Source organism: Homo sapiens, chromosome 19, assembly GCF_000001405.40.
Source record: "Homo sapiens chromosome 19, GRCh38.p14 Primary Assembly".
In the NCBI taxonomy this organism is placed as follows: domain Eukaryota; kingdom Metazoa; phylum Chordata; class Mammalia; order Primates; family Hominidae; genus Homo; species Homo sapiens.
This window is the reverse complement of record NC_000019.10, coordinates 46,993,634-47,017,718: the sequence shown is the minus strand read 5'-3', so window position 1 is coordinate 47,017,718 and position 24,085 is coordinate 46,993,634. Positions and strand designations below refer to the sequence as shown.

At 54.4% G+C, this 24,085-nt stretch overlaps 1 protein-coding gene across 3 annotated transcripts in view, besides 4 other annotated features; it reads right to left on the bottom strand.

Moving 5' to 3' along the window:
• Window positions 6,105-6,318: a silencer, noted in NCBI's record as "fragment chr19:47514658-47514871 (GRCh37/hg19 assembly coordinates)". NCBI's record gives its function as "represses an EF-1alpha promoter that drives an FKBP-Casp9 reporter gene in an ReSE screen in K562 erythroleukemia cells {active_cell/tissue: K562}" and the evidence as "EXISTENCE:reporter gene assay evidence [ECO:0000049][PMID:32094911]".
• Window positions 11,714-12,292: an enhancer, noted in NCBI's record as "H3K4me1 hESC enhancer chr19:47508684-47509262 (GRCh37/hg19 assembly coordinates)". NCBI's record gives its function as "activates a minimal SCP1, AML or CMV promoter by ChIP-STARR-seq in naive H9 embryonic stem cells {active_cell/tissue: H9 hESC(naive)}" and the evidence as "EXISTENCE:reporter gene assay evidence [ECO:0000049][PMID:30033119]".
• The window catches only part of ARHGAP35 (Rho GTPase activating protein 35), a 144,081-nt gene continuing 132,637 nt past the window's right edge, over window positions 12,642-24,085 (bottom strand). Inside the window, exons 6-7 of one of the 3 annotated variants that reach the window (NM_004491.5) lie at window positions 18,310-18,415; window positions 12,642-17,388 (exon numbers count right to left, since the gene is read on the bottom strand). In NM_004491.5, coding sequence (NP_004482.4) covers window positions 17,031-17,388; window positions 18,310-18,415 — 464 coding nt within the window. In that variant the 3' untranslated portion in view covers window positions 12,642-17,030. Of the gene's footprint in view, window positions 17,389-17,645; window positions 17,893-18,309; window positions 18,416-19,960; window positions 20,223-24,085 lie in introns of those variants that run through there. The other 2 variants (XM_024451473.2, XR_002958305.2) reach the window with 2 other exon arrangements.
• Window positions 13,766-14,512: an enhancer, noted in NCBI's record as "H3K27ac-H3K4me1 hESC enhancer chr19:47506464-47507210 (GRCh37/hg19 assembly coordinates)". NCBI's record gives its function as "activates a minimal SCP1, AML or CMV promoter by ChIP-STARR-seq in naive H9 embryonic stem cells {active_cell/tissue: H9 hESC(naive)}" and the evidence as "EXISTENCE:reporter gene assay evidence [ECO:0000049][PMID:30033119]".
• Window positions 14,513-15,258: an enhancer, noted in NCBI's record as "H3K4me1 hESC enhancer chr19:47505718-47506463 (GRCh37/hg19 assembly coordinates)". NCBI's record gives its function as "activates a minimal SCP1, AML or CMV promoter by ChIP-STARR-seq in naive H9 embryonic stem cells {active_cell/tissue: H9 hESC(naive)}" and the evidence as "EXISTENCE:reporter gene assay evidence [ECO:0000049][PMID:30033119]".

The following is a 24,085-nucleotide window of genomic DNA, read 5'->3' as shown; positions in this document are numbered from 1 at the left end:
CCTGCCTCAGCCTCCCAATGTGCTGGGATTATGGCGTGAGCCAGGTCGCCCAGCCTGGCCTGTATTTATTTATGATTGCACATACACACGGATTTTTTTTTTTTTTTTGAGATGGAGTCTCGCTTTCTCACCCAGGCTGGAGTGCAGTGGCAGGATCTCGGCTCACTGCAACCTCCACTTCCCAGGTTCAAGCGATTCTCCTGCCTCAGTCTCCTGAGTAGGTGGGATTACAGGTGCGCACCACTACGCCTGGCTAATTTTTGTATTTTTAGTAGAGATGGGGTTTCACCATGTTGGTCAGGCTGGTCTCAAACTCCTGACCTCATTGTGACCTGCCCGCCTCAGCCTCCCAAAGTGCTGGGATTACAGGCGTGAGCCACCATGCCTGGCCTACACATGGATTTTGTGAGGTTAAGAGTAATTGGTGGTGTTGAAACCTCAGCTCTGCCATTTACTGCTGTATGACTCTGGGCAAGTAACTTCACCTCTCTGGGCCTTCGTTTTCTCCCTTGTAGAATGAGGATATTTTAATTCTAGTACCCACCTCATAGCATCATAGTGAAGATAAAATAAGTTTATTTTAGAAGGTCTCAATGTGACCTGAGAACTGGTCTCTTCGGTGTGCTGGGTCAAATTTTCATACCGAGACATTTTCTGCCTTTTTCACTTCATTCTGTTGTCTGGTGGAGATTTCCAGATGCTGTGTGATGTGTGATATCACAACAGACCAAATGCAGAAGCAGCCGTGAGGCCCAGCCATCTTCTTCTTACTGTTATTCCTTCCTTCCTTCCCTTCTTTCTTTCTTTCTTTTTCTTTCTCTTTCTTTCTTTCTTTCTTTCTTTCTTTCTTTCTTTCTTTCTTTCTTTCTTTCTTTCTCTCTCTCTTTCCTTTTCTTTTCTTTTCTTTCTTTCTTTTTCTTTCTTTTTTTTTTGAGGTCTTGCTATGTTGCCCAGGCTTGTCTTGAACTCTTGGCCTCAAGCAGTCTTCCCACCTCAGCCTCCCAAAGTGCTGGGATCACAGGCGTAAGCACAGTGCCCAGCCCAAGGTCCAGCCATCTTCTATAAAAGCTGGACGTTAAAGAGATTTGCAAAAATGTAAAAGAATGCCACTCCCTTCACTAACTTTTTTTTTAATTGGAAAATATATTTTTCATAAAATATTTATGTTGGCCTGTAATGGGCTTATAATTATTATTTTAATTTTAATTTAATTTAATTTAATTTAATTTTTCGAGACAGAGTCTTACTCTGTTGCCTAGGCTGGAGCGCAGTGGCACGATCTCGGCTCACTGCAACCTCTGCCTCCAGGGTTCAAGTGATTCTCCTGCCTCAGCCTCTCGAGCAGTTGAGATTACAGGCATGCACCACCATGCCCGGCTAATTTTTGTATTTTTAGTAGAGACGGGTTTTCACCATGTTAGTCAGGCTGGTCTCAAACTCCTGACCTCATGATCTGTCTGCCTCAGCCTCCCAAAGTGCTAGGATTACAGACTGACTGATTCTCTTTCACAGCCTCAGAAAGAGGCTGGGCACGGTGGCTCAAGCCTGTAATCCCAGCAGCTTGGGAGGCCAAGGTGGGCGGATCACTTGAGGTCAAGAATTCAAGACCAGCCTCGCCAATACTGGGAAACACTGTCTCTCCTAAAAATACAAAAATTAGCCAGGCGTGGTGGCTCACACCTGTAATCTCAGCTACTCAGGAGGCTGAGGCAGGAGAATTGCTTGAACCTGGGAGGTGGAGGTTGTAGTGAGCCGAGATTAAATCACTGCACTCCAGCCTGGGCAGCAGAGTGAGACTCCATCTCAAATTAAAAAAAAAAAAAAAAAAAAAAGCAACCAGCCCTGCCGACACCCTGATTGATCTCGGACTTCCAGCCTCTGGCAACTGCGAGAGAAGACACTTCTGTTGTTTCAAGCCGCCCAGTTTGCGGTCCTTGGTTTTGGCAGTCCCAGCAAACTAATACCGGGGAATGGAGAGTGACTGCTAATGGCTGCATGCTTGCTTTTTGGGTGATGAAAATGTTCTAAAATGGACTGTGGTGATGGTTGCGCGTCTGTGAATACACTAAAAAACCCCTAACTCTGCTAAACACAACTTTAAACGTGTAAAATGTATGGCGTGGGAACAATCTCAATAGAGTGCTTATTCACAGATAAATAATAGGAAAACAAGCCCCAAGGCATTCCTCGTGGAGTTGCTGTCAGCATTCAATGAATTCATTCAACAAATATTTATCGGCCAGGTATGGTGGCTCACACCTGTAATTCCAGCACTTTGGGAGGCCGAGGCGGGCAGATCACCTGAGGTCGGGAGTTCGAGACCAGCCTGACCAACATGGAGAAACCCCATCTCTACTAAAAATACAAAATTAACCAGGTGTGGTGGCTCATGCCTGTAATCCCAGGTACTTGGGAGGCTGAGGCAGGAGAATTGCTTGAACCCAGGAGCGGAGGTTGCGGTGAGCCTGAGCTGAGATGGTGCCATTGCACTCCAGTCTGGGGCAACAAGAGCAAAACTCCGTCTCAAACAAAACAAAACAAAACAAAACAAAAAAACAAAAAACCAGCCTGGCCAACATGGCAAAACCCCATCTCTACTAAAAATACAAAAATTAGCTGGACATGGTGCCACACATTTGTAATCCCAGCTACTTGGGAGGCTGAGGCAGAAGAATCGCTTGAACCCCAGAGACAGAGGTTGCAGTGAGCCGAGATCGCGCCACTGCACTCCAGCCTGGGCAACAGAGCCAGACTCTTGTCTCAAAAAAAAAAAAAAAAAGAAGGTTGGGTGTGGTGGCTCATGCTTGTAATCCCAGCACTTTGGGAGGCTGAGGCAGGCGGATCATGAGGTCAGGAGATCGAGACCATCCTGGCTAACACGGTGAAACCCCGTCTCTACTTAAAATACAAAAAAATTAGCCGGGCATGTGCCTGTAGTCCCAGCTACTCGGGAGGCTGAGGCAGGAGAATGGCGTGAACCTGGGAGGCAGAGCTTGCAGTGAGCTGAGATTAGGCCACTGCACTCCAGCCTGGGCAACAGAGCAAGACTCCATCTCAAAAAAAAAAAAAAAAAAAAAAAAGAAGAAAAGGGCTGGGTGAGGGGTGAGGTGGTGCATGCCTGTAGTCCGAACACTTTGGAGGCCAAGGAGGGAGGATTACTTGAGCCCAGGAGATCGAGACCAGCCTGGGCAGCATGGTGAAACCCTCTCTACAAAAAAATACAAAAATTAGCTGAGTGTGGTGGTGCACCCCTGTAGTCCCAGCTACTCAGGAGGCTGAGGCAGGAGGGTCCCTTGATCCCAGGAGATTGAGGCTGCAGTGAGCTGTGATTGTGCCACTGAACTCCAGCCCTGGGAGACAGAGCAACACCCTGTCTCAAAAACAAAACACAAGCCTGGTGCAGTGGCTCACGCCTGTAATCCCAGCACTTTGGGAGGCTGAGGCGGGTGGATCACTTGAGGTCAGGAGTTCAAGACCAGCCTAGTCAACATGGTGAAACCTGTCTCTACTAAAAAAATTACAGAAATTAGCCAGGCATGGTGGCGGGCGCCTGTAATCCCAGATCTCAGGAGGCTGAGGCTGGAGGATCGCTTGAACCCGGGAGGCAGAGGTTGCAGTGAGCCAAAATCATACCACTGCACTCCACCCTGGGTGACAGAGCAAGACTCAGTCTCAGAAAAAAAAAAGAAAAAGAAAAAGAAAAAGAAAAAGAAAATTGATGGTGAAAAGCGATTAAAACAAGGCCTGCTATCTCGTAAGGGTCCAATGATTGTTAGCTTTTATTAATTTAATATTACTTGTATTTTTTTTTTTTTATGCAGGGTCTCACTCTTTCACCGAGGCTGGAGTGCAGTGATGTGATTACGGCTCACTGCAGCCTCTACCTCCCGGACTCAGGTGATCCTCCCATGTCAGCCTCCTAAGTAGCTGGGACCACAGGTATGCGCCACCACTCCTGATTAACTTTTTGTATGTTTTGTAGAGATGGGGTCTTGCTCTGTCTCCCAGACTGGAGTGCGTAGCACAATCGTCGCTCACTGCAGACTCGAACTCCTGGCCTCGAGCAATCCTCCCACCTCAGCCTCCCAAAGCACTAGGATTACAGGTGTGAGCCTCCGTGCCCGGCCAATATTATTTGTTTTGCTAACATTTATGTTAATTGCATGCTCTTCAGGCCCACCTGGGAGGCAGGTTGGCTGTGAGCTTGCATGTCCTGAATCTCTACTTTCTTCCCCTCCTCTCAGCTCCTGCAAATCGGACCCAGTCTTGTCTCCCCAGTGCCCTCAGGACACACTGAGTTTCTCACCCGGCTCTGCAAGGCCCTGAGTGGCCTGTGACTGAATGGTGGAATAAATGGGTGGATGGATGCAGTGACAGAAACAGTAGCTCATTCCCCTGCTTCTCGGCCAGCTCCTGGGACACTTCGCTTCCAGCCCCATTTCTCAGAACCCGCCTCCTCCTCAGTCCCTGCTGCTTCTCCTTCTAATCCGGCCTTACTTCCTAAAAAGCCGCCATCCGGGCTTTCTACTCTTCCCGGGATGGCCATGGCTGGGCAGGGCGGCGCTCTGCTGACCCCTGGTGGCCGCGCGGAGTAACACAGCTCATTCTCCACCAGGGCAGTTGGCCTGGAGCCCTGGAGCGAATGCTGGGTGCTGGCTGCGGCTTGGGAGGCACAGCTCCCGCCCTCGTAGGTTTCACAGGAAAGTGGGGAAGACAAAGGATAATCAGATACTCACACTGTCGTATGCGGCAACCCTGGCGTCATCTGCACCTTCTCTCTGCCCCAGTCTCATGCCATCTTCAACAAATTCTGTAGCCTTGACCTTCAAGATACCTGGAATTCCCTGTTCTTTCCACTATCACCGTCCTTCTCTGGTCTAATCCGCCACCGTTTCACTCCTGGACTATCGTAGTTACCTCCTTGCTGGACTCCCAGAATCCAGGCTCAGTCTTAACTGATTTCTCCTTTAGCCTCAGGCTCCAATGTGACTCACTTGACACTCTTACTGATTCGTCTTTATTTAAAATATTGATAGTTTGTTCATCATGGATTTGGTTTTTTTGCACTAATTTTGATTTTTTAAACAAGTCTCTTTTTTTGAGATGGAGTTTCGCTCTTGTTGTCCAGGCTGGAGTGCAATGGTGCCATCTCGGCTCACGACAACCTCCGCCTCCTGGGTTCAAGCCATTCTCCTGCCCCAGTCTCCCGAGTAGCTGGGATTACAGGCATGCGCCACCACACCCGGCTAATTTTGTATTTTTAGTAGAGACGGGGTTTCTCCATGTTGGTCAGGCTGCTGTGGAACTCCTGACCTCAGGCGATCCACTCACCTCGGCCTCCCAAAATGCTAGGATTGTAGGCATAAGCCACCACGCCTGGCCCAAAAGACTTTTATTTATTTATTTTGAGATGGGGTCTCACTCTGTCACCCATGCTGGAGTGCAGTGGCAGAATCTTGTCTTAATGCAGCCTCAACCTCCTGCGATCTTCCCACGTCGACCTCCTGAGTAGCTGGGACTACAGGCATGTGCTGCCATGCCCAGCTAATTTTTTTTTTTTCTTCGAGAGGGAGTTTCCCTCTTGTTGCTGAGGCTGGAGTGCAATGGTACAATCTTGGCTCACTGCAACCTCTGCCTCCTGGGTTCAAGCGATTCTTCTCTCTCAGCTTCCCGAGTAGCTGGGATTACAGGCATGTACCACCATGCCTGGCTAATTTTGTATTTTTAGTAGAGACAGGGTTTCACCATGTTGGTCAGGCTGGTCTTGAACTGACCTCAGGTGATACGCCTGCCTCGGCCTCCCAAAGTTCTGGGATTACAGGTGTGAGCTGCCGCGCCTGGCTTTTTTTTTTTTTTTGAGATGGAGTCTTGCTCTGTCGCCCAGGCTGGAGTGTAGTGGCATGATCTCGGCTCACTGCACCCTCCACCTCTCAGGTTCAAGCGATTCTCCTGCCTCAGCTGCCTGAGTAGCTGGAACTACAGGCATGCGCCACCACACCCAGCTAATTTTTCTATTTTAAATCGAGACGGGGTTTTGCCATGTTGGCCAGGCTGCTCTCGAACTCCTGAACTCAGGTGATCCACCCGCCTCAGCCTCCCAGAAATGCTTGGATTACAGGTGTAAGCCACCTCGCCTGGCCTGCTCAGCTAATTTTTAAAGAATTTTTTTGTAGAGTCGGAGTCTCACTCTATTGCCCAGGCTGGTCTCAGACTGCTGGGCTCAAGTGATCCTCCCATCTTGAACTCCAAAGTGCTGGGATTACAGGCATGAGCCAGTGCACCCAACCAAGACAAACAATTTTTTTGGTTTGTTTTGTATTGTTTTTTTTTTTGAGATGGAGTCTTGCTCTGTCACCCAGGCTGGAGTGCAGTGGCGTGATCTCAGCTCACTGCAACCTCCACCTCCCGGGTTCAAGTAATTCTCCTGCCTCAGCCTCCCGAGTAGCTGGGACTACAGGCGCACACCACTACGCCCAGCTAATTTTTGTATTTTTAGTACAGACGGGGTTTCACCATGTTGGCCAGGATGGTCTTGATCTCTTGACCTTGTGATCCGCCTGCCTAGGCTTCCCAAAGTGCTGGGATTACAGGCATGAGCCACCACGCGTGGCTGACATTTTTTTTTTAGAGCAGTATTAGGCTAACAGCAACTTTGCTTTTTGAAAACATTGTGCTGAAATATTTTTATGTTGATGACTGAAGTCTCTTTCGTGTTCTGTTAAGTTTTGCAACTGAGGCAAGTGCTCCCAACAACTGAATCCTCGTTAACTCCTCGGTCCTGCCTAAATAATGGCCACATTCATTTGTTTACTGTGTTCCTTCCACTAGGATGTCAGCTCCGGGCAGGGATTTGTTTAATGTCTGTGTGCCCCAGCCTGAATGAATAACACACCGAGAAAAGTACTTTTTTTTTCTTTCTTTTTTTTAGACAGGGTCTGGCTCTGTTGCCCAGGCTGGAGTGCAGTGGTACGATCTTGGCTCACTGCAACCTTGAACTTCCTGAGTTCAAGTGATCCTCCCACCTCAGCCTCCCGAGTAGCTGGGATTACAGGCATGCGCCACCACGCCTGGCTAATTTTGTATTTTTTTTTTTTAATTTATTTATTTTTTATTGATAATTCTCGGGTGTTTCTCACAGAGGGGGATTTGGCAGGGTCATAGGACAATAGTGGAGGGAAGGTCAGCAGATAAACAAGTGAACAAAGGTCTCTGGTTTTCCTAGGCAGAGGACCCTGCGGCCTTCCGCAGTGTTTGTGTCCCTGGGTACTTGAGATTAGGGAGTGGTGATGACTCTTAACGAGCATGCTGCCTTCAAGCATCTGTTTAACAAAGCACATCTTGCACCGCCCTTAATCCATTTAACCCTGAGTGGACACAGCAGATGTTTCAGAGAGCACAGGGTTGGGGGTAAGGTCACAGATCAACAGGATCCCACAGCAGAAGAAGTTTTCTTAGTACAAAACAAAATGAAAAGTCTCCCATGTCTACTTCTTTCTACACAGACACGGCAACCATCCGATTTCTCAATCTTTTCCCCACCTTTCCCGCCTTTCTATTCCACAAAACCGCCATTGTCATCCTGGCCCGTTCTCAATGAGCTGTTGGGCACACCTCCCAGACAGGGTGGTGGCCGGGCAGAGGGGCTCCTCACTTCCCAGTAGGGGCGGCCGGGCAGAGGCGCCCCTCACCTCCCGGACGGGGCGGCTGGCCGGGCGGGGTGCTGACCCCCCCACCTCCCTCCCGGACGGGGTGGCTGCCGGGCGGAGACGCTCCTCACTTCCCAGACTGGGTGGCTGTCGGGCGGAGAGGCTCCTCACTTCTCAGACGGGGCGGCTGCCGGGCGGAGGGGCTCCTCACTTCTCAGACGGGGCGGCCGGGCAGAGATGCTCCTCACCTCCCAGACCGGGTCGCAGCCGGGCAGAGGTGCTCCTCACATCCCAGACGGGGCGGCGGGGCAGAGGCGCTCCCCACATCTCAGACGATGGGCGGCCGGGCAGAGACGCTCCTCACTTCCTAGATGTGATGGCGGCCGGGAAGAGGTGCTCCTCACTTCCTAGGTGGGATGGCGGCCGGGCGGAGACGCTCCTCACTTTCCAGACTGGGCAGCCAGGCAGAGGGGCTCCTCACATCCCAGACGATGGGCGGCCAGGCAGAGACGCTCCTCACTTCCCAGACGGGGTGGCAGCCGGGCAGAGGCTGCAATCTCGGCACTTTGGGAGGCCAAGGCAGGCGGCTGGGAGGTGGAGGCTGTAGCGAGCCGAGATCACGCCACTGCACTCCAGCCTGGGCACCATTGAGCACTGAGTGAATGAGACTCCGTCTGCAATCCCGGCACCTTGGGAGGCCGAGGCTGGCGGATCACTTGCGGTTAGGGGCTGGAGACCGGCCCGGCCAACACAGCGAAACCCCGTCTCCACCAAAACCAGTCAGGCGTGGCGGCGCGAGCCTGCAATCGCAGGCACTCCGCAGGCTGAGTCAGGAGAATCAGGCAGGGAGGTTGCAGTGAGCTGAGATGGCAGCAGTACTGTCCAGCTTCGGCTCGGCATCAGAGGGAGACCGTGGAAAGAGAGGGAGAGGGAGACCGTGGGGAGAGGGAGAGGGAGACGGAGAGGGAGAGCTCCTAATTTTGTATTTTTAGTAGAGACGGGGTTTCTTCATGTTGCTCAGGCTGTGTCTTGAACTCCCGATCTCAGGTGATCTGCCCGCCTCGGCCTCTCAAAGTCCTGGGATTACAGGCGTGATCCACTGCACCTGGCCCCAAGCTGCTAATTAAAAAAAGAAATGTTTTGTAGAGACAAGGTCTAACTTTGTTGAACAGGCTGTTCTTGAATTCCTGGGCTCAGGTGATCCTCCTCTCTTGGCCTCCCACAGCACTATGATGACAAGTATGAGCCACCATGCTCAGCTCAGAAAGTACTCTGAAAGAACTTATTTTTTTCCTTTGAAAGCACGGAGAGTCTACGGCCATACACCCTGAACCCACTCGATCTCATCTGAAAGCAAAGAGACCCATCTTGGCTGGGGGAGTCAGGGAGGGCTTTCCCTGTGGAGGAGTCTGAGGAGCTGAAATCTGAAGGACCAGGAGAAAGTTAGCAAGGTGGGATGGCCTCAAGGGAGGACAGTCTTGGAGGAGGAGGGGACAATACTGCAAAATGCCCGAGGTGGGCAGGCCCCAGGGGAGTTGGAGTATCTGGACCAGAGTGCAAGGAAAGGCTCCTGGGAGGTGGGCGGGGTCGGGGGTGGGACCCTGTGGAAGAGTTCAGGCTTCCTCTAAGGGCATTGGAGATCCCTGGAGGATGTTACGGGAGGAGACACATGGCTAGATGTGAGATCTGATCTGCCCTCATGGAGATGGGAGTGGGTGAGCATGGAGGGCAGATGTCTTGGTGAGATCAGACAGGGCTGGGGTGCAGGGAGCAGGAAGGGGAGTGTGCTGGAAGGCAAAATGGAACTGGGAGTTGTACCTGGTTGACTGGAAGGGAGAGAGACACCCCAAGGGGGCCCCCAGGGTCTCTCTCTGGCTTGAGGGGGGGATCCTGGGGAATGGACCTGTTTGGAGAAAGGGTCAGGAGTTTGGCTGTGGGTGTGTCACAGTGGAGTCCCCAAGTAGAGTGTCATAGACAGGTGGATATGATGTTTTGCTTGCAGCGGAGGTCTAGGCTGGAGTCACGTGGGAGAGGGTGGTTTACAGATGGGGCAGGTCAAGGGCAAGGTTGAGACCACCGCGTTCGAAAAACCGAATGAAGGCTTACCACGCATAAGGCATCTTGTTGGGCCTCCTGGGGTGGCCTATCTGGGAGCCGCGAAGCTGCCCCCCAAAGCTCTCAACGTGGGTGCTGGTGGTTGTGAGGCTCGTGTTTAGAAAGCACACAAGTCTTGAAGAGCAAGAGCGAGAGAAGGCTGAGCACAGGGGCTCACGCCTGCCCTCCCAGTGCTTTGGGAGGCTGAGGTGGAAGGATTGCTTGAACCCGGGAGGTGGAGGCTGCAGTAAGCTGAGATCACACCACTGCACTCCAGCCTGGGCGACAGAGCAGGACTTTGTCTCAAAAAAAAAAAAAAAAAAAAAAAAAAAAAAGTCCGGGCATGGAGGCTCATGCCTGTAATCCTGTAATCCCAGCGTTTTGGGAGGCCGAGGCGGGTGGATCACGAGGTCAAGAGATCAAGACCATCCTGGCTAACATGGTGAAACCCCATCTCTACTAAAAATACAAAAATTAGCTGGGCATGGTGGCGGCACCTGTAATCCCAGCTACTCGGGAGGCTGAGGCAGGAGAATCACTTGAATCCAGGAGGCAGAGGTTGCAGTGATCCGAGATCGCGCCATCACACTCCAGCCTGGGCAACAGAGGGAGACTCCGTCTAAAAAAAAAAAAAAGACACTCCTTGGCCAGTCAGCACCCAGAGCCCACTGCCTATCTGGTTCTGGTCTCTCCCTCAACCCAGCTTAGCACAGAGCGGGGCCCCCAGATGGCTCAGCCTTTGCCCAAAGAAGGGAGGAACAGGCCGGGCATGGTGGCTCATGCCTGTCATCCCAGTGCTTTGGGAGGTCGAGGCAGGAGGATCGCTTGAACCCAGGAGCTCAAGACCAGCTTGAGCAATAGAGCGAGATCCCATCTCTGAAAAAAAAAAAAAAAAAAAAAAAAAAGCCAGATGTGGTAGCATGTGCCTCTGTAGTCCCAGCTACTTGGAGGCTGAGGTGGGAGGATTGCTTCAGCCTGCGAGTTCAAGGCTGAAGTGAGCCGTGTTTGTGCCACTGCATTCCAGCCTGGACAACAGACTAAGAAAAGGAAAAAAAAAAATAGAGAAGACAGGTTTCTGTCAGCACACATTGAGTACCAACTGCACACCAGGAGGATGTAGAGATTTAATTCAAAAAAACAAAGGAGAAACCCTGGAGCGCTCACGGGGAGTGACATAAACCCCCAGCAGGTAAATCCCAGCTGCAGGGTGAATCCGTGAGTGGAGAGGGTCAGGGATGTTTCTGGAGAAAGACTGGCTTTGAAGAACAGGGTAGGATCTGATGGGCAGGCTAGAGGTTTGGGGAAGGGTGGATGGAAGGAATTTCAGGCAGAGGGAAGTGCTCAAAGCAAGGATCTGGAAGCAGAAAGCAGCCAGCTGCACTCAAAAGAATGAGACTCGGCCAGGCGAGGTGGCTCACGCCTCTAATCCCAGCACTTTGGGAGGCTGAGGTGGGCGGATCACCTGAGGCCAGGAGTTCGAGACCAGCCTGGCCAACATGGAGAAATCCCGTCTCTACTAAAAATATAAAATTAGCCAGGTGTGGTGGTGCATGCCTGTAATCCCAGCTACTCAGGAGGCTGAGGCAGGAAAATCCCTTGAACCGGGGAGGCGGAGGTTGTAGTGAGCCTAGATCGAGCCACTGCACTCCAGCCTGGGCAACAAGAGCAAAACTCTGTCAAAAAAAAAAAAAAAAAAAAAAAAAAAAAAAAAGACTAATTTTGACTGATGTTGGGGAGTTGGGTTAGAGGAGTGGGAGAGAAGAGCAGGATGGATCCAGACAGAGCGTGGGGTTCTGCATGGATGCCAAGGAGCCTGGGCTATGGTCAGTAGGCATCTCCGTTTGTTTGCCTGCCTGGCTGAGGCAGTGGCAAACAGACGTCATCTCTGGTGCCAGCCCCTATTGATTGGCAGTGGCTGCCTGGAGAGGGGTGTGGCAGAGTGCGGTGATCAGCTAGCCATGTCTGCTATGGGCACAGGCAGGGAAGGATGCATCTTGTATGCTGAATAGTTCACTCTTCTGCCATGAATATTGAGGGCAGGGGGGCCATTCAGTGTGTGGGGGTGTCTATCAGAGTCTAGTGAGCTTGAATTCAGGTCTAGGCTAGAATGGAGGCAGAGGGAACAGCAGAGTCACGCTCAAGTGACATTTGGGATCTTAGAAGCAGTCAGGGGTAAGTAAGGAGGGGGCCAAGGATAGAGCAAACTTGAGCCTGGGAGACTGGAAAGAGGAAGATATTCCTAACGAGAGTTTTTTAGGGGGTGAGCAGAGAGGAGGTGTTTTTGGTGGCAAGGCTTCTTTGGGAAGCAGCCCACCTCCGTCCCTGGAGGTGCTGTCCTGGATGACGGTGGTGACGGTGGCTAACTCTGGCATAGAGCCTGGGTCTCTGACCCCAGGGCCAGCACCAGGGAGTGAGTGTGACCTTAGGCTCTCCCCTCTCAGAACTTCAGCCCTGACCCCTCCCTTGAGAAGGGTCTGAGGTCGGCCACCTCCTGGCCACAAGCCTGCTCATGACCCTGCCCCTGGAACTCACCCAGGAAGTGAACAGGGGCATCTGACTCCCGGTACCACCCGCGTGGCCTCAGGCCGGAGGGGAGTGGGAAGGAAGGTCAGGAGCGGCACCTCTGGCATCCCCTCCCCACGCCTGCCTGCAGCTCCTGCGGCCATGGGGGTTTGTGGGAGGCACTTTAGGTGATGCTGAGAAACCACAGGAATGACGCGGCCTTCTGGGAAGCTGTGCTGGAGAGGAAAGCAGGTGAGAGCCGGGAGGGGGGGCTCGTGCTGGCCGAGGCCTCTCCTGTGGGAGCCTCCTGCTTCCCCCCCCGGGCGCCTAAGCCTGTGAAACCCTGGTGTGTGCTGCACTGGCCCGGTAAGGAGGAGGCCCCCCTTCACTTCTCTCAGGTTTGGTTTTTTACAAGATTCATTTATTAACTATGATACAGATCACATAAGGCCTTTTGTTTTTTACACCATTCCCATTGAGACAAGTACAATACTTTGTAGCAAATACATGATTTTAAAAAACAAAACCAAACAAAAACACCTCAGTCAGAGATGCCTCAGCCTTCATTGAGGGCTGACCATGCACTAATCAGGTTGGAGCCTCAAAAAACCCACGATGTGTTTTTAAAAAAAAGTCTGGAAATTAAGCAAACATTCCTAACACCAGCTAGACGATGTTCCGGTTAAAGCCCCTAAAATACAAAGAAATAATTGTTATACTTTCTTTACATACAGGTCTTCACTTTTGCTGCGAAACAGAATTTTGGGCACACAGCCAGACTACTAACACATTTCAATACCATTAATATGTTTTGTTTTTTCTCAGAAACTCAAAATATTTGTTAATTCAACATATATAAAGATCATTTAACATGTGAAAATACAAGTACCAGAAAAATAAGCTGGCAGCAGCACTATTCCAAATTTTCAAACAAGTTTTATTTCCATACAATTCTGACATTTCCGTTTTTTTGTTTTTTTCTTAAATGTACACAGGGAACATGATTCTTTTTATGCAAACAATAACTTAGGCCTGTAGCATCGCTGCCGGCTCCGCCACGGGAGGGCTGGGGGAGGCCAGCCCAGGTCAGCAGTGGCCGAGGTGACAGACCGCCTCCTGCTCTGTCCCCCGCGCGCGCCGCGCATTGGCCACGCTGCACCGACCGCACCGCGGCCGCGCCCCCACCGGACCCGCGACAGAAACTGCCCCCTTCCTGGGCCACTTTCTGACCTGGACACAGACGATGTCCTCCGAGGGAGGGAGCCCACCCCCGTTACACCTCAGAGCCACGAAGCCGGCGCCCGCTCCCTGCCGCAGCTTCCCCGGATCCCTGCGCTGCCCTCGGGAAAGCAGCGACTCAACCAGACCCAGCCCCCCGCGCGGCAGGGGCCCTCCTGGCCACCGCACCCTACTTTTTCTAGCCGGCGCCCCCAAAGCAGTGGCTTCTCATAGGAAAGGATGGGAGGGGGGCGCAGCTGAGGTGACTCTTGATGACAAGTCACTGCAGCTGGCCTGCTGTGAAGTTTTGTGTGTGTGTGTGTGTGTGTGTGTGTGTGTGCGTGTCCAGAATGCCTGGTGGCCTGCGGGGGTCTTTACCAAGGGGATGCTGGCTTGACCCAGGCCTCCTTTCCCTAAGAGCAGCAGGAGCTGAGTGAGGCACAGGGATGCCCCCATCCCCTTCTGGCCAGCGAGCTGCTCCTATGATGTCACCCTCTGTCCACCGTGACAAAGACAGACACATCCTGCAGAAGAATCTGGGTCGCAGCAGGTGCCCTGCCTCCAGCAGGAAGCAAAACCAAGGCGGTGGAGGCAGGAGAGCACGGAGACAGACGCCCCGAAGCTCTCTCCCTGTTCCTCCCCAAACGCTAGGCGATGGGAAAGACGGGGACAATGCAGAGTAAATGTGTGCCGTGACACCCAGTATGCGACACAAGCCAAGAATTCTAAGTGGATTCACGAGCCACGCCACCCAGCCTTGGGTCTTCCCTCTTCAGCCGTCAGAGCCAGGATCAGTCTCTGGCTTTGCACCAAGGGCTGCTGTCCCCTCACACGGTGTCTGCGCTCTCGCTGGGCAGGGGTGGCTGCCCCACGTCCCCATTCTGGACAAGCCAACGCCCTCCCACCCAGTGCTGAGAGCTGCATGCGAGTCCCATGAGCACCCTCTGTGCACACACCTTCCAGAACTTAGAGCCCCAACAAAAGCGGGAGTGGGGGCAGCATGGTCCCAACAATCCCCAGGGACGCTCCTCTGTGGCTCCCATGCAAGTGCCCATTTGGGCTGCACGCTTCCCTGACCGGACGCTGAAGGCCGGCCTGCCACGACTGGCCATGCCCCTCAAACGACCGAGATGTCCTCTAGTCCCTCAGCCCGGAGCAGCAGATGAGAGGCTGAAGTTAGCGGGGGAAACAAGAGGAACCCTGTGGCTTCCTGTGCATGGGGGCTCCCTTTGGACATAAGCTGCCACAGTCCCTGCCTGCCCACCTTGGCTGACAAGGCGCTGCATTGGGAGTGCCCCAGACCTAGTTTCAGGTACTTCTGTGAGGAGAGGGGTAGAGAGCCCAGGTGCTCCTCCTCACCACCCCCTCCACACTCCTGGGGAAGTCACTGGCCGCACATACATCTGTGGAATCGGGCCAGGTGGCTTGGGACGTGGCTTTTGTGCTCACACAAAAGAGGTGGCAGTGTTAGCTCAAGCAGTGAGGGGGACTGGGCTGCTTTTGCCTGCGTTCACACAGGGACGGCCCAGGGCACCACCATGCTTTCCCTCCACCCCCAATTACGTGAGGAGCTGACCAGGTGAGCATAACCTCGAAAAGGGGGCGGGGTCAGTAAATGGGGCCGTTTCCTCATCTGCTGGGGTCCAGGGCTGGGGGAGTTTGGGAACGTTTCTGCCAACCTCAGCTAAAACGAAACACAGATGTCACCTTCCAGCCAACCCTGGGCCTACAGGGCCAGGCACAGCTCCACCAGAAGAGACAAAAATTCATCATCCAACATTCACAGAAAACACGCCTGAACCCTGGGTTTGTTCTCCGATTTGTGTTCCTCAAAAGGCGGTAAAACTTGCAAGGTTAGGTGTTTCCAAGCACCTTCGTTGGCCATTGAGAACTGGAGACAGTGAGCCAGCCGTCCCCAGAGGGAGCTCGGGAGCCGAAGGGCCACTCCCGTCTCCAACCACTGCAGGCGGGCACGGGCAGGGCAGCTGCAGACGCCCGGGAAAGGTGTCCATCAGGCCCCCTGGAATACACCACAGATCCTATTTCTTAAAGTGCAACGAGCCCCAAGGGCTGTCTGGCATGGGGCCCTCTGCACCCCACTAGCTCTCGCCTGGGGGGTGCCTAGTGTCAGGCTTCCTGGCCGCAGAGGCCACAGCCCAGCCATGCAAGTTTGAGGTGCTGGGGGGCAGAGGTGGCCAGGAGAAGAGCTTTTCCTGGGGCAGTGGGAAGGCTGGGCTAGGGTGGTGGTGGATGATATGCAGGCACAGCGCCTCTGGGTCAGCGAAGACCAGGAAGGATGCCCCTTCGAGGGCACCAGCAGACCGCCATTCCTTCAAAGTGCCCCACCTCGCCCACATCCCCATGAACACTCCTGCTGGTGGCCTCCATGGCTGGGATGAAACGATTCCACTTCAACACCCAACACACCAACCCCAACCCCAAGTGCACCTGGCACCTTCCAGCTGTCCCCAACCCCCCACCAAGCGCCCACACACACTCACACTCACATGTGCACACACACCCCCACCCCACGCACATGCTCAATTAGTGTTTCTATCGTAATGGACTGTGTTCTGGGGCAGCCCAGGTTCCAGCCTGCACTGCCATCTCCCCAGCTGTCCCCACCAAGGGCTCGAACCCTCTTCTTGGGAAAACGGGGGATCTAGCGACTAGACCTAAGTGGGTGAGTGGGACCCCAGCAGGCCCTCAGGCCACAGCTCCAGGCATCCTGGTTTTGCTGCCACAAAGACGAGGGTCAGCTCCACCTGTGTGCCTCCCTCCCTCCCGGCAGAGGCGGGCACAGAGTGGAATCTTGAGGTCTGTAGTTTTCTTTCTGTGGTTTCTTCCTTTTTAATTACTGGAAGGGTTTTTCCATTTTTTCTCCTAGTGTTCCTTTGTTTGCCAGGGAATGTTTCGGGAAGGCTGTGGAGTGGGACGGTGGGGATGAAGCGGGGAGTCCCACACTCTCTGGGTCCAGGCACAAAGCTATCCTCCGTTGTTCTGATCTGCAGAGCCAGCGCCCTCAGCAGGTACCTAGTGGTGGCAGAGCCGTGGCCTACACGTTCCCAAGGAGGCCGCCAGCCGGGCTGTACCCTTACCTTGGGGGTGTGTGCAGATGGAAGGTGGGAAGAGACAGACCAACAGGAAGTGTTCTCTTCAGGGGTTGCCAGCCCCACCCTGAATCTCAGAGCATCCTCCTCCCCGGCAAAGGCCAGGGCACTGTCCCGACCATGGGCTCTGTACAAGCAGAGGGAGGCACCCGGAGGCTGGTGTGAGCAGCTACGTGGGGTGGTGGTCCAGGGAACAGAGGGAGGGCACTGGAGCCATTGCCTGCCTAGTTCAGTCCTCAAATGGGTCCAAGCCAGCTCAGGTCTGCAGCGCCAGGCCCAGGGTACCTGGCAGCCCAGCCGATGGTACCATTGGCTGGTGCTCCCACTGAGGTCTTGAGAAGGTAATGGGGAGAGCCACTTGCCCCTGCCTCTGTCCCCAGTGGACTTGGTTTTGTTCAAGGCCAAATGCCACCCCGTCAGAGAGAGGACCGGTTCTCCTGTCGCCCCAGGTCTTGGTGGCTCACAGCGTGTGTTCGGCTTGAAGCTGGGAGGGAAGCAGTGGCTGCATTGGGGACTGGGGGGTGGGTGGAGGCGACTGTGGGGGCGACGGCTGACTTGTGACAGGCGTGGAAGTGAGGAAGGGGACGGTGGAAGCCACGGCAGAGGGGGAGCTGGGCCTGGCGCCGGGGGGCTCGGTGATGGGCCGATTGTAGAAGAAGAAGGGGCACTGCTGGATAAAGAGTTCAATGATTGTCTGGTAGGTGCGCGTGGCTGTGAGGGCGTCCATAGTGCTGAAATCAGGTCTCATCAAGGTGGGCCAGAAGCAGATGGAGAGGTTCTCGCTGGTCATGAGATTCACCTTGTTGTTGTGGCTGACCCTGCGGGCGACACCAAACTCAATGGTCAGAACTGTGCAGGGCCCCACCTGGCCCTGGGCGCTCATGGTCTTCAGCACCCAGGCTGAGCCCACCTTTCTTCCCTCAGGTGGAGCAGAAAAGGCCATGCGCAGCTCTCTGTACCCTGCCCTGCCTGGGAGGCTGCGCCCTCAGTGTCCTCTCCCCTCCAGCCCAGTGCCTCTACATGGCCAACCTCGGAAAGGCTGCCTGGAGCCCCGCAAACCCCTGGGGGTGGATGGACCACCTCAGGGACTCACTCTGCAGCCAGCCAAAGCAGTGGCGGTGCTCCGGCTGTGACGAGGGAGGGAGGCTGAGTGTCCTAAGCCAGAGCGCCATCAGAGGCCACTCGGCCAGCAGATCTCCTCCACACACATGGAACTTCAGGGAACAACCATACGGCCTCCCGCCTGCGGCTGTGCTCCATGCCGGAGGCTGGCTGTCTCCTGCAGCACATCTCTCGAGGTGCAGTGTCCCGGTTCTCCCCAGCTGGGAACGTGAATGCTGTGAGAGGACTTTCAGGGACTCTGAGGTGTTTTTGATTCAGGAGAAGATTTCTGGAGCATCAGTACCAACCAGAAGATCTTCTCTCTCTGCCAGCTTTGGGACACAGGCCTACAAGAGGCCCCATGCCCGCTGGAGCTAAGTGCCCTATCTGGTGTTAGGCAGGTTTGAGGCCACGTGGGCTGCCCTCAGACAGGAGCAGGAGGGAGGCCTGAGGATGGGCGAGAGGCAGAGGCTCTGGGCACCGAGACCAGCGGGCACCATGGGAGGCCAGCCAGCACCCCTTCCAGGCCAGGGCCTGAGGCTTCTACTGGCTTGTGGACAGAGCCTTGTTCTGCGACACACTGACCCTGGCTGTCAATTTTCAGGAGGAAAAACCAACCAGAAGGCCCTGCGACTTACTTGTTTAGGTGAGAGATGACATACTTGAAGACTTCGTGGTTTTCCTTTGGAAATTTCTTTAATACCTCCTTAAGGGCATGCAACTTCTGCTCCCGGTCGTTGATTTCTGAGGAGAGAGAAAACCAAAGCCTTGCCTTTCATGGCCGAGGCTGGTGGCCACCCCAGGGCGTGCTCTGTGATGGGCCTTCTCTGAGGACAGCCCAGGGCTTTTGGATGACACTAACCCCACTCTTTCCCCCAAAGCCTGTGCCCAAGGCTGGCACACCTGGCAGTGGCACTGGCCCAGGGGTCTGGCCCACCTCTGTGTCCCAGGCCCCCGCTGAAGGGCGGCACTGTGTGCCTGGGGCTTCCTGGCCCCCACCACCCAAGACAGAACAATCTGGAGACACTCCGCCATAAAGAACACCATTCTTTGCTCATCCGGTTGCCCCTGGAGACAGGCATCCCTACGCAGAAAGCCTGCTTGCTTCCTGACCAGATGGAGACGGGCGGCCGCTGCCACCCACCCACGCCAACAGGCCTTCGAGGGAGGGAGTCAGTCGGTCATGAGACCAAGGCTCTGTCCTTTTCCTAGAGACACAGGGACCGTCCACACATCCCCGTTGGAGGGGCTGATGGAAACAGTGGGGGAATTCTTATGCACTTCACCAAAGGAACTACGCACCCCCTTTTCCCCCAACGCCCACACTTTGCCTATCATGGAATCCTAATGTCCTGGGGGAGGGAAAACAACTGCCTGGAATGCAGCTTGTAACCCGCGCCAGGCCCAGTTCCATGAGTCCCCACAATCGTGTGAGGCAGGAACTCGTCACCCCATTTTGAGGATGAAGTATCTGAGTTTAGAAGTTGCAGAGCTGGGACTGGCTGTGGGGCCTGAGCTGTGGCCACTGGGCTTGCCATCCCCGAGTGGGTGTGGCCCACCTTGACTGGGAAGGGCATCGGGGCTGGTGAGGCACAAACGTCCCAGAGCCCACCTGGAGCCCAGCTGGCTAAGACAGATTTCTCTGTGCAGGGAAAGATGCCCCCATGTTTCCTTCGTGGACTCCAGGGCTCAGAAGAACCACAGGAGGGTCTCACGAAGGAGATGGCAGCGACCTCACAGCTGGCGGCTGTGGGGGTGGTGAAGAGAGGCCTGTTAAAGCGCAGATGATTGCTAATGGGCCCGGGGGCTCGGGCTCCTTTGGGATAGATGATGGTGCCAGACCGTCTCGGCCGGAGACATATGTGTGCCATTCTGCTGATGAATCCGGGAGGGGTGCGGACTCCCTGAACCAAGTATTCTTTTCTTTCTTTTTTCTTTTTTTTTTTGAGACGGAGTCTCACTCTGTCACCCAGGCTGGAGTGCAGTGGTGCGATGTCGGCTCACTGCAAGCTCCGCCTCCTGAGTTCACACCATTCTCCTGCCTCAGCCTCCCAAGTAGCTGGGATTACAGGTGCCCGCCACCACGCCGGCTAATTTTTTCGTATTTTTAGTAGAGACGGGGTTTCACCGTGTTAGCTAGGATGGTCTCGATCTCCTGACCTCGTGATCCACCCACCTGAGCCTCCCAAAGTGCTGGGATTACAGGCGTGAGTCACCGCGCCCAGCCCTGAAGCAAGCATTCTTTGGGAAACCCATAGCTTCCTAGTCACCTTGCAGCAGGTGACGTACCCAGAGGGTCAGAGTTGGGGGAGTTGCACAAGCACCCTGGTGAGAGTGAGACTTGGAAGAGCAGACAGAATGCCAATGACGGGCACGCTGAGCAGGGAGGAAGGTCCTGTGGTGGTCTGGAGTCCAGATCCTGACTCAGATGGCCCTGGTACAAATCCGGCCTCTCGCGTCAACCGTGTCACCTTGGGCAAGTGACACCTTAGGGTGAGTCTCCTTGTCTGTAAAAGGGGCTGTGGACAGTGCCTCCTTCATTCGGTGACACCTGGCAATTAAATGAAGAGTTCACAGCTGGACACAAAATAAGGGCACCTGGGAGCCAGTCTACTCGCAGGAGCCTGTGGGGAAGGGAGGCCGCAGGGCTGGAAGGGACAGAGCTCCAGGAGCTCTCCCGGGCAGCCTAATGAGGAGGAATGAAACCTGGCAAATCTGTGGCCTTGAGAGTGTGACTTGATAAGAGCAGTGTCTTGGTAACATCTGTCTATCAGAAATGACTAAAAAAGTCCTGGGAGCTAGTTATTGGGCTATGAGCAGCTTCATCTCTCTGAATCCAAGGTTTATTTTAAGGGTTCCACCTCAAGGGCACTTTCTTTTTTTCTTTTTTTGAAATGGAGTCTCGCTCTGTTGCCCAGGCTGGAGTGCAGTGGCGTGATCTCAGCTCACTGCAACCTCTGCCTCCCAGGTTTAAGCGATTCTCCTGCCTCAGCCTCCCAAGTAGCTGGGATTACAGGTGCCCACCACCACGCCTGCTAATTTTTGTATTTTTACTAGAGACGGGGTTTCATCACGTTGTCCAGGCTGGTCTGGAACTCCTGACCTCAGGTGATCCACCCGCCTCGGCCTCCCAAAATGCTGGGATTACAGGCGTGAGCCACCGCACCCGGCCATGGGCACACTCTTTTCTACGACCTTGAGTCTTCAAACAATTCATTGTCATTTTACAATAAAATGTTTACATAAACAAAGTAAACTGCTGTAGGGAGGACAGAAGACCGTATTAGAAAACACAAGCAGCATGTGTGTGGTGTAAAGCTTCACTTAATAAAATCGTCATGCCCCCTTCCAGCTGCTAGCTTGGCACAGGAGGACACAGGTCTCTCCGTAGGTGCCTGCACGACCCAAACACAGCTGTGTTTGTCTTAATTAGGCATCGAGTGGTAGCACCTTTACATAAGAGCTGGGTCTCATCCCGTCCTCTGGCTGGAGGCAGGAAACGGGGCTGGCAAAGCCTAGGTCTGCCAGAGATGCCTGCTCTCCTTCCTATCTGATGAGTAGCAAGGCGGGTGGTTTTGTTTCTTCTTCAGGGGGTGGGGAGGGGCAGGGGTGGGAGTTACAAAGCCTGCATTGATAATAATTTAGGGGCCGGGCGCGGTGGCTCAGGCCTGTAATCCCAGCACTTGGGAGGCTGAGGTGGGTGGATCACTTGAAGTCAGGGGTTTGAGACCAGCCTGGCCAACATGCCAAACCCCATCTCTACTAAAAATACAAAAATTAGCCAGGTCTGGTGGCGTGTGCCTATAATCCCAGCTATTTGGGAGGCTGAGGCAGAAGGATCACTTGAACTTGGGAGATGGAGGTTGCAGTGAGCCAAGATCGTGCCACTGTGCTCCAGCCTGGGTGACAGAGCAAGACTCCATCTCAAAAAGAAAAAAAATAAATTTAGGGGCTGCCCCCTAGAATCCCAGCCTCCTTCTGCATATGCACCTCAGCCGAACGCCTAGTGAGGAGCGGGTGGCCAGTCTCCTCGCCTGCTCCCCTCCCCACTGGCTGCCTGGTCCAGGTGCTCCTGAGTACTGAGCAGCACTAGGAGCTCGCTGGGCAGAGGTCAAGGAGGGCGAGAGGCCCTTCTGCTCAAGTCTGGCCCACACTAAAAGCAAGGTCGACCTTGTGAACATCCTTTGACTCAGCCCCATTCACCTCTTTCCTTAAGCAAAGCTTGCCCTCACCCCTCTAGGGCCTCTCTGGGGAGGGACCTACTCTAGGCTCCAGCTGCAGCCTCTTCACATGGCAAAGGCACCAGTAGCTGCTTAGGTTTGGGTGCTGCCCAAGTGCTGGCAGGACAGCTTCACAGTGCTCTGTGCATGGCCCTGACCGCAGACCCGAGTGGAAGGTGGGGCTGGGCGTTACCCATATGGTGGCTGAGAAACCCACTCCAGAGGCCAAGAGAAGGCCACAAGGCTGGTGATGGCAAAGGTGGATGGGACCCAGGCCTGTCTCCCAGCTTAGCCCATCTGCTCTGGGTCCCCGCCTCCCTGCACGCGGCAGAGCCCTCTCTGACTGTAGTAATCCTCTGACAGGACAGGGGATGGGGGGCCTCCAGGGTGCTGGCTTCACCAGCTAGGACACTTTTTTTCTTTTTGTGAGATGGAGTCTCACTGTATTGCCCAGGCTGGAGTGCAGTGGCACGATCTCGGCTCACTGCAACCTCCACCTCCCAGATTCAAGCAATTCTCCTGCCTCAGCCTCCTGAGTAGCTGGGATTACAGGCCCAGCTAATTTTTGTATTTTTAGTAGAGACGGGGTTTCACCGTGTTGGTCAGGCTGGTCTCGAACTCCTGACCTCATGATCTGCCCGCCTTGGCCTCCCAAAGTGCTGGGATTACAGGTATGAGCCACTGTACCCAGTCACACTGTACCCAGCCTTTTTTCTATACCCACCCTCCCCTGACTCAGGACTGGGGGAGGCACCAGCAGTGTCTGTGCCCTGTGTGGCATTTTCAGCTGCCCTGGTTGGAACCAGGCACAGGTCCCTCAACAGTCCTCAGCGAGGGAGGAGGTGACTCTGACCCAGAGGCAGGTGAGCATGAGAAGGGCTGGGCTGAGCACGTGGGGATGGGTGAGGTTGTGTGGTGACAGCGCCCCATTCTTGCCTTGTCAGACAATGCGAATTCTTTCATTCTCGGATTTGGGAGGCCCCTCCTCCTTGGGTCATTTGTTCATCCGCAGTGGGTGGGAGGAGCAGATATTTACGGGGACCCGCTCCTGCCTGGGTACTATTTTACACACTGGGGATGCAGTAGGGGACAAAAACCAAATTCCCTGCCGCTTACGGTCTAGTGGAAAGAGGGGAAAGGACCCAGTGGGTGCCTCTCTAGTCTAGGAGCTCTGGGCCGGCTCCTCGAGGCCTTCCTGGCCCTGCCTCTGTTTCCCCTCCTGACCACCATCCTCATCCCCGGCGAGTTCACGGCGCCTCTGGCTGGCTGCTACTTGCTGAGCACGGTGCTGACTGGGCTATCCCGCTCCAACCTGGGCCTGGGTGTGGTCAAGCACAGACTCCCGAGGCTCCAAGCCAGAGGCCTGGGGAACAAGCTGGTGGCCAAGAGCCAGCCCAGCCCGTGCACCCTGGACACCTTCTACCCTATGGTGCTGCCGAAGGCTGGGGCCACAGTCTGTGTGGACCTGGTCACAGGGCAGCGGCACACTCAGGGCAGCCACTCACCATCTTCAGTGGAGCCCTGCTGTACAGGGACCCCCAGCTTCAATAGGTAGCCCGCCCGGCCAGGTGTCTACACTGGCCAAAGAAACAGCAGGGGCAATGGGCTCCCTGGTGTCCCTACTGGGACAGGGCCGTCAGGGCACCCAGCCCTGGGTGAGCTGCTGCAACCCGGACCCGCCATGGTACAGGTGCCCAGGGTGGCTTCTCCCCACACCTGGCGTGTGCTGGTTTGTGGATTCCCAGGTCCGCTCGTCCAGACTTTTGGTGTAACCTCCACCCCCTTCAGAGTCCCCTCAGGACCCAGACTGTGGAGGGCCCGATCCTCACATCCTCTGCTCCCTCAGCCTGCCCTTTGGGAGTCAAGACACTTAGTTTTTTCTAACAACAACAACAACAACAAACAACCCATCCTGCTCCAGTGTGTGGTCAGGGGTAGACAGGAGTCCAGGGGCGTGGGCCGGGAGAGAAGGTGGCCTATGGAGGAGACCCCAGCCTCCACACTGCGCTCACCCCTTTGCTTGGCTTGGCTCCAGGTGGCTCTGCTCTTGCTCAGGGGGCGTGGGCTGGGAGCTGCACCTCTTCCTGGGACATCATACTTTTGAACTTAGGGGCCATCGACTGAGACAACAAGAAACGTCCAAGGGAGGCATTTTTGGGCCAGTTGAACCAAGACAGCCTGGACACAGATCCAG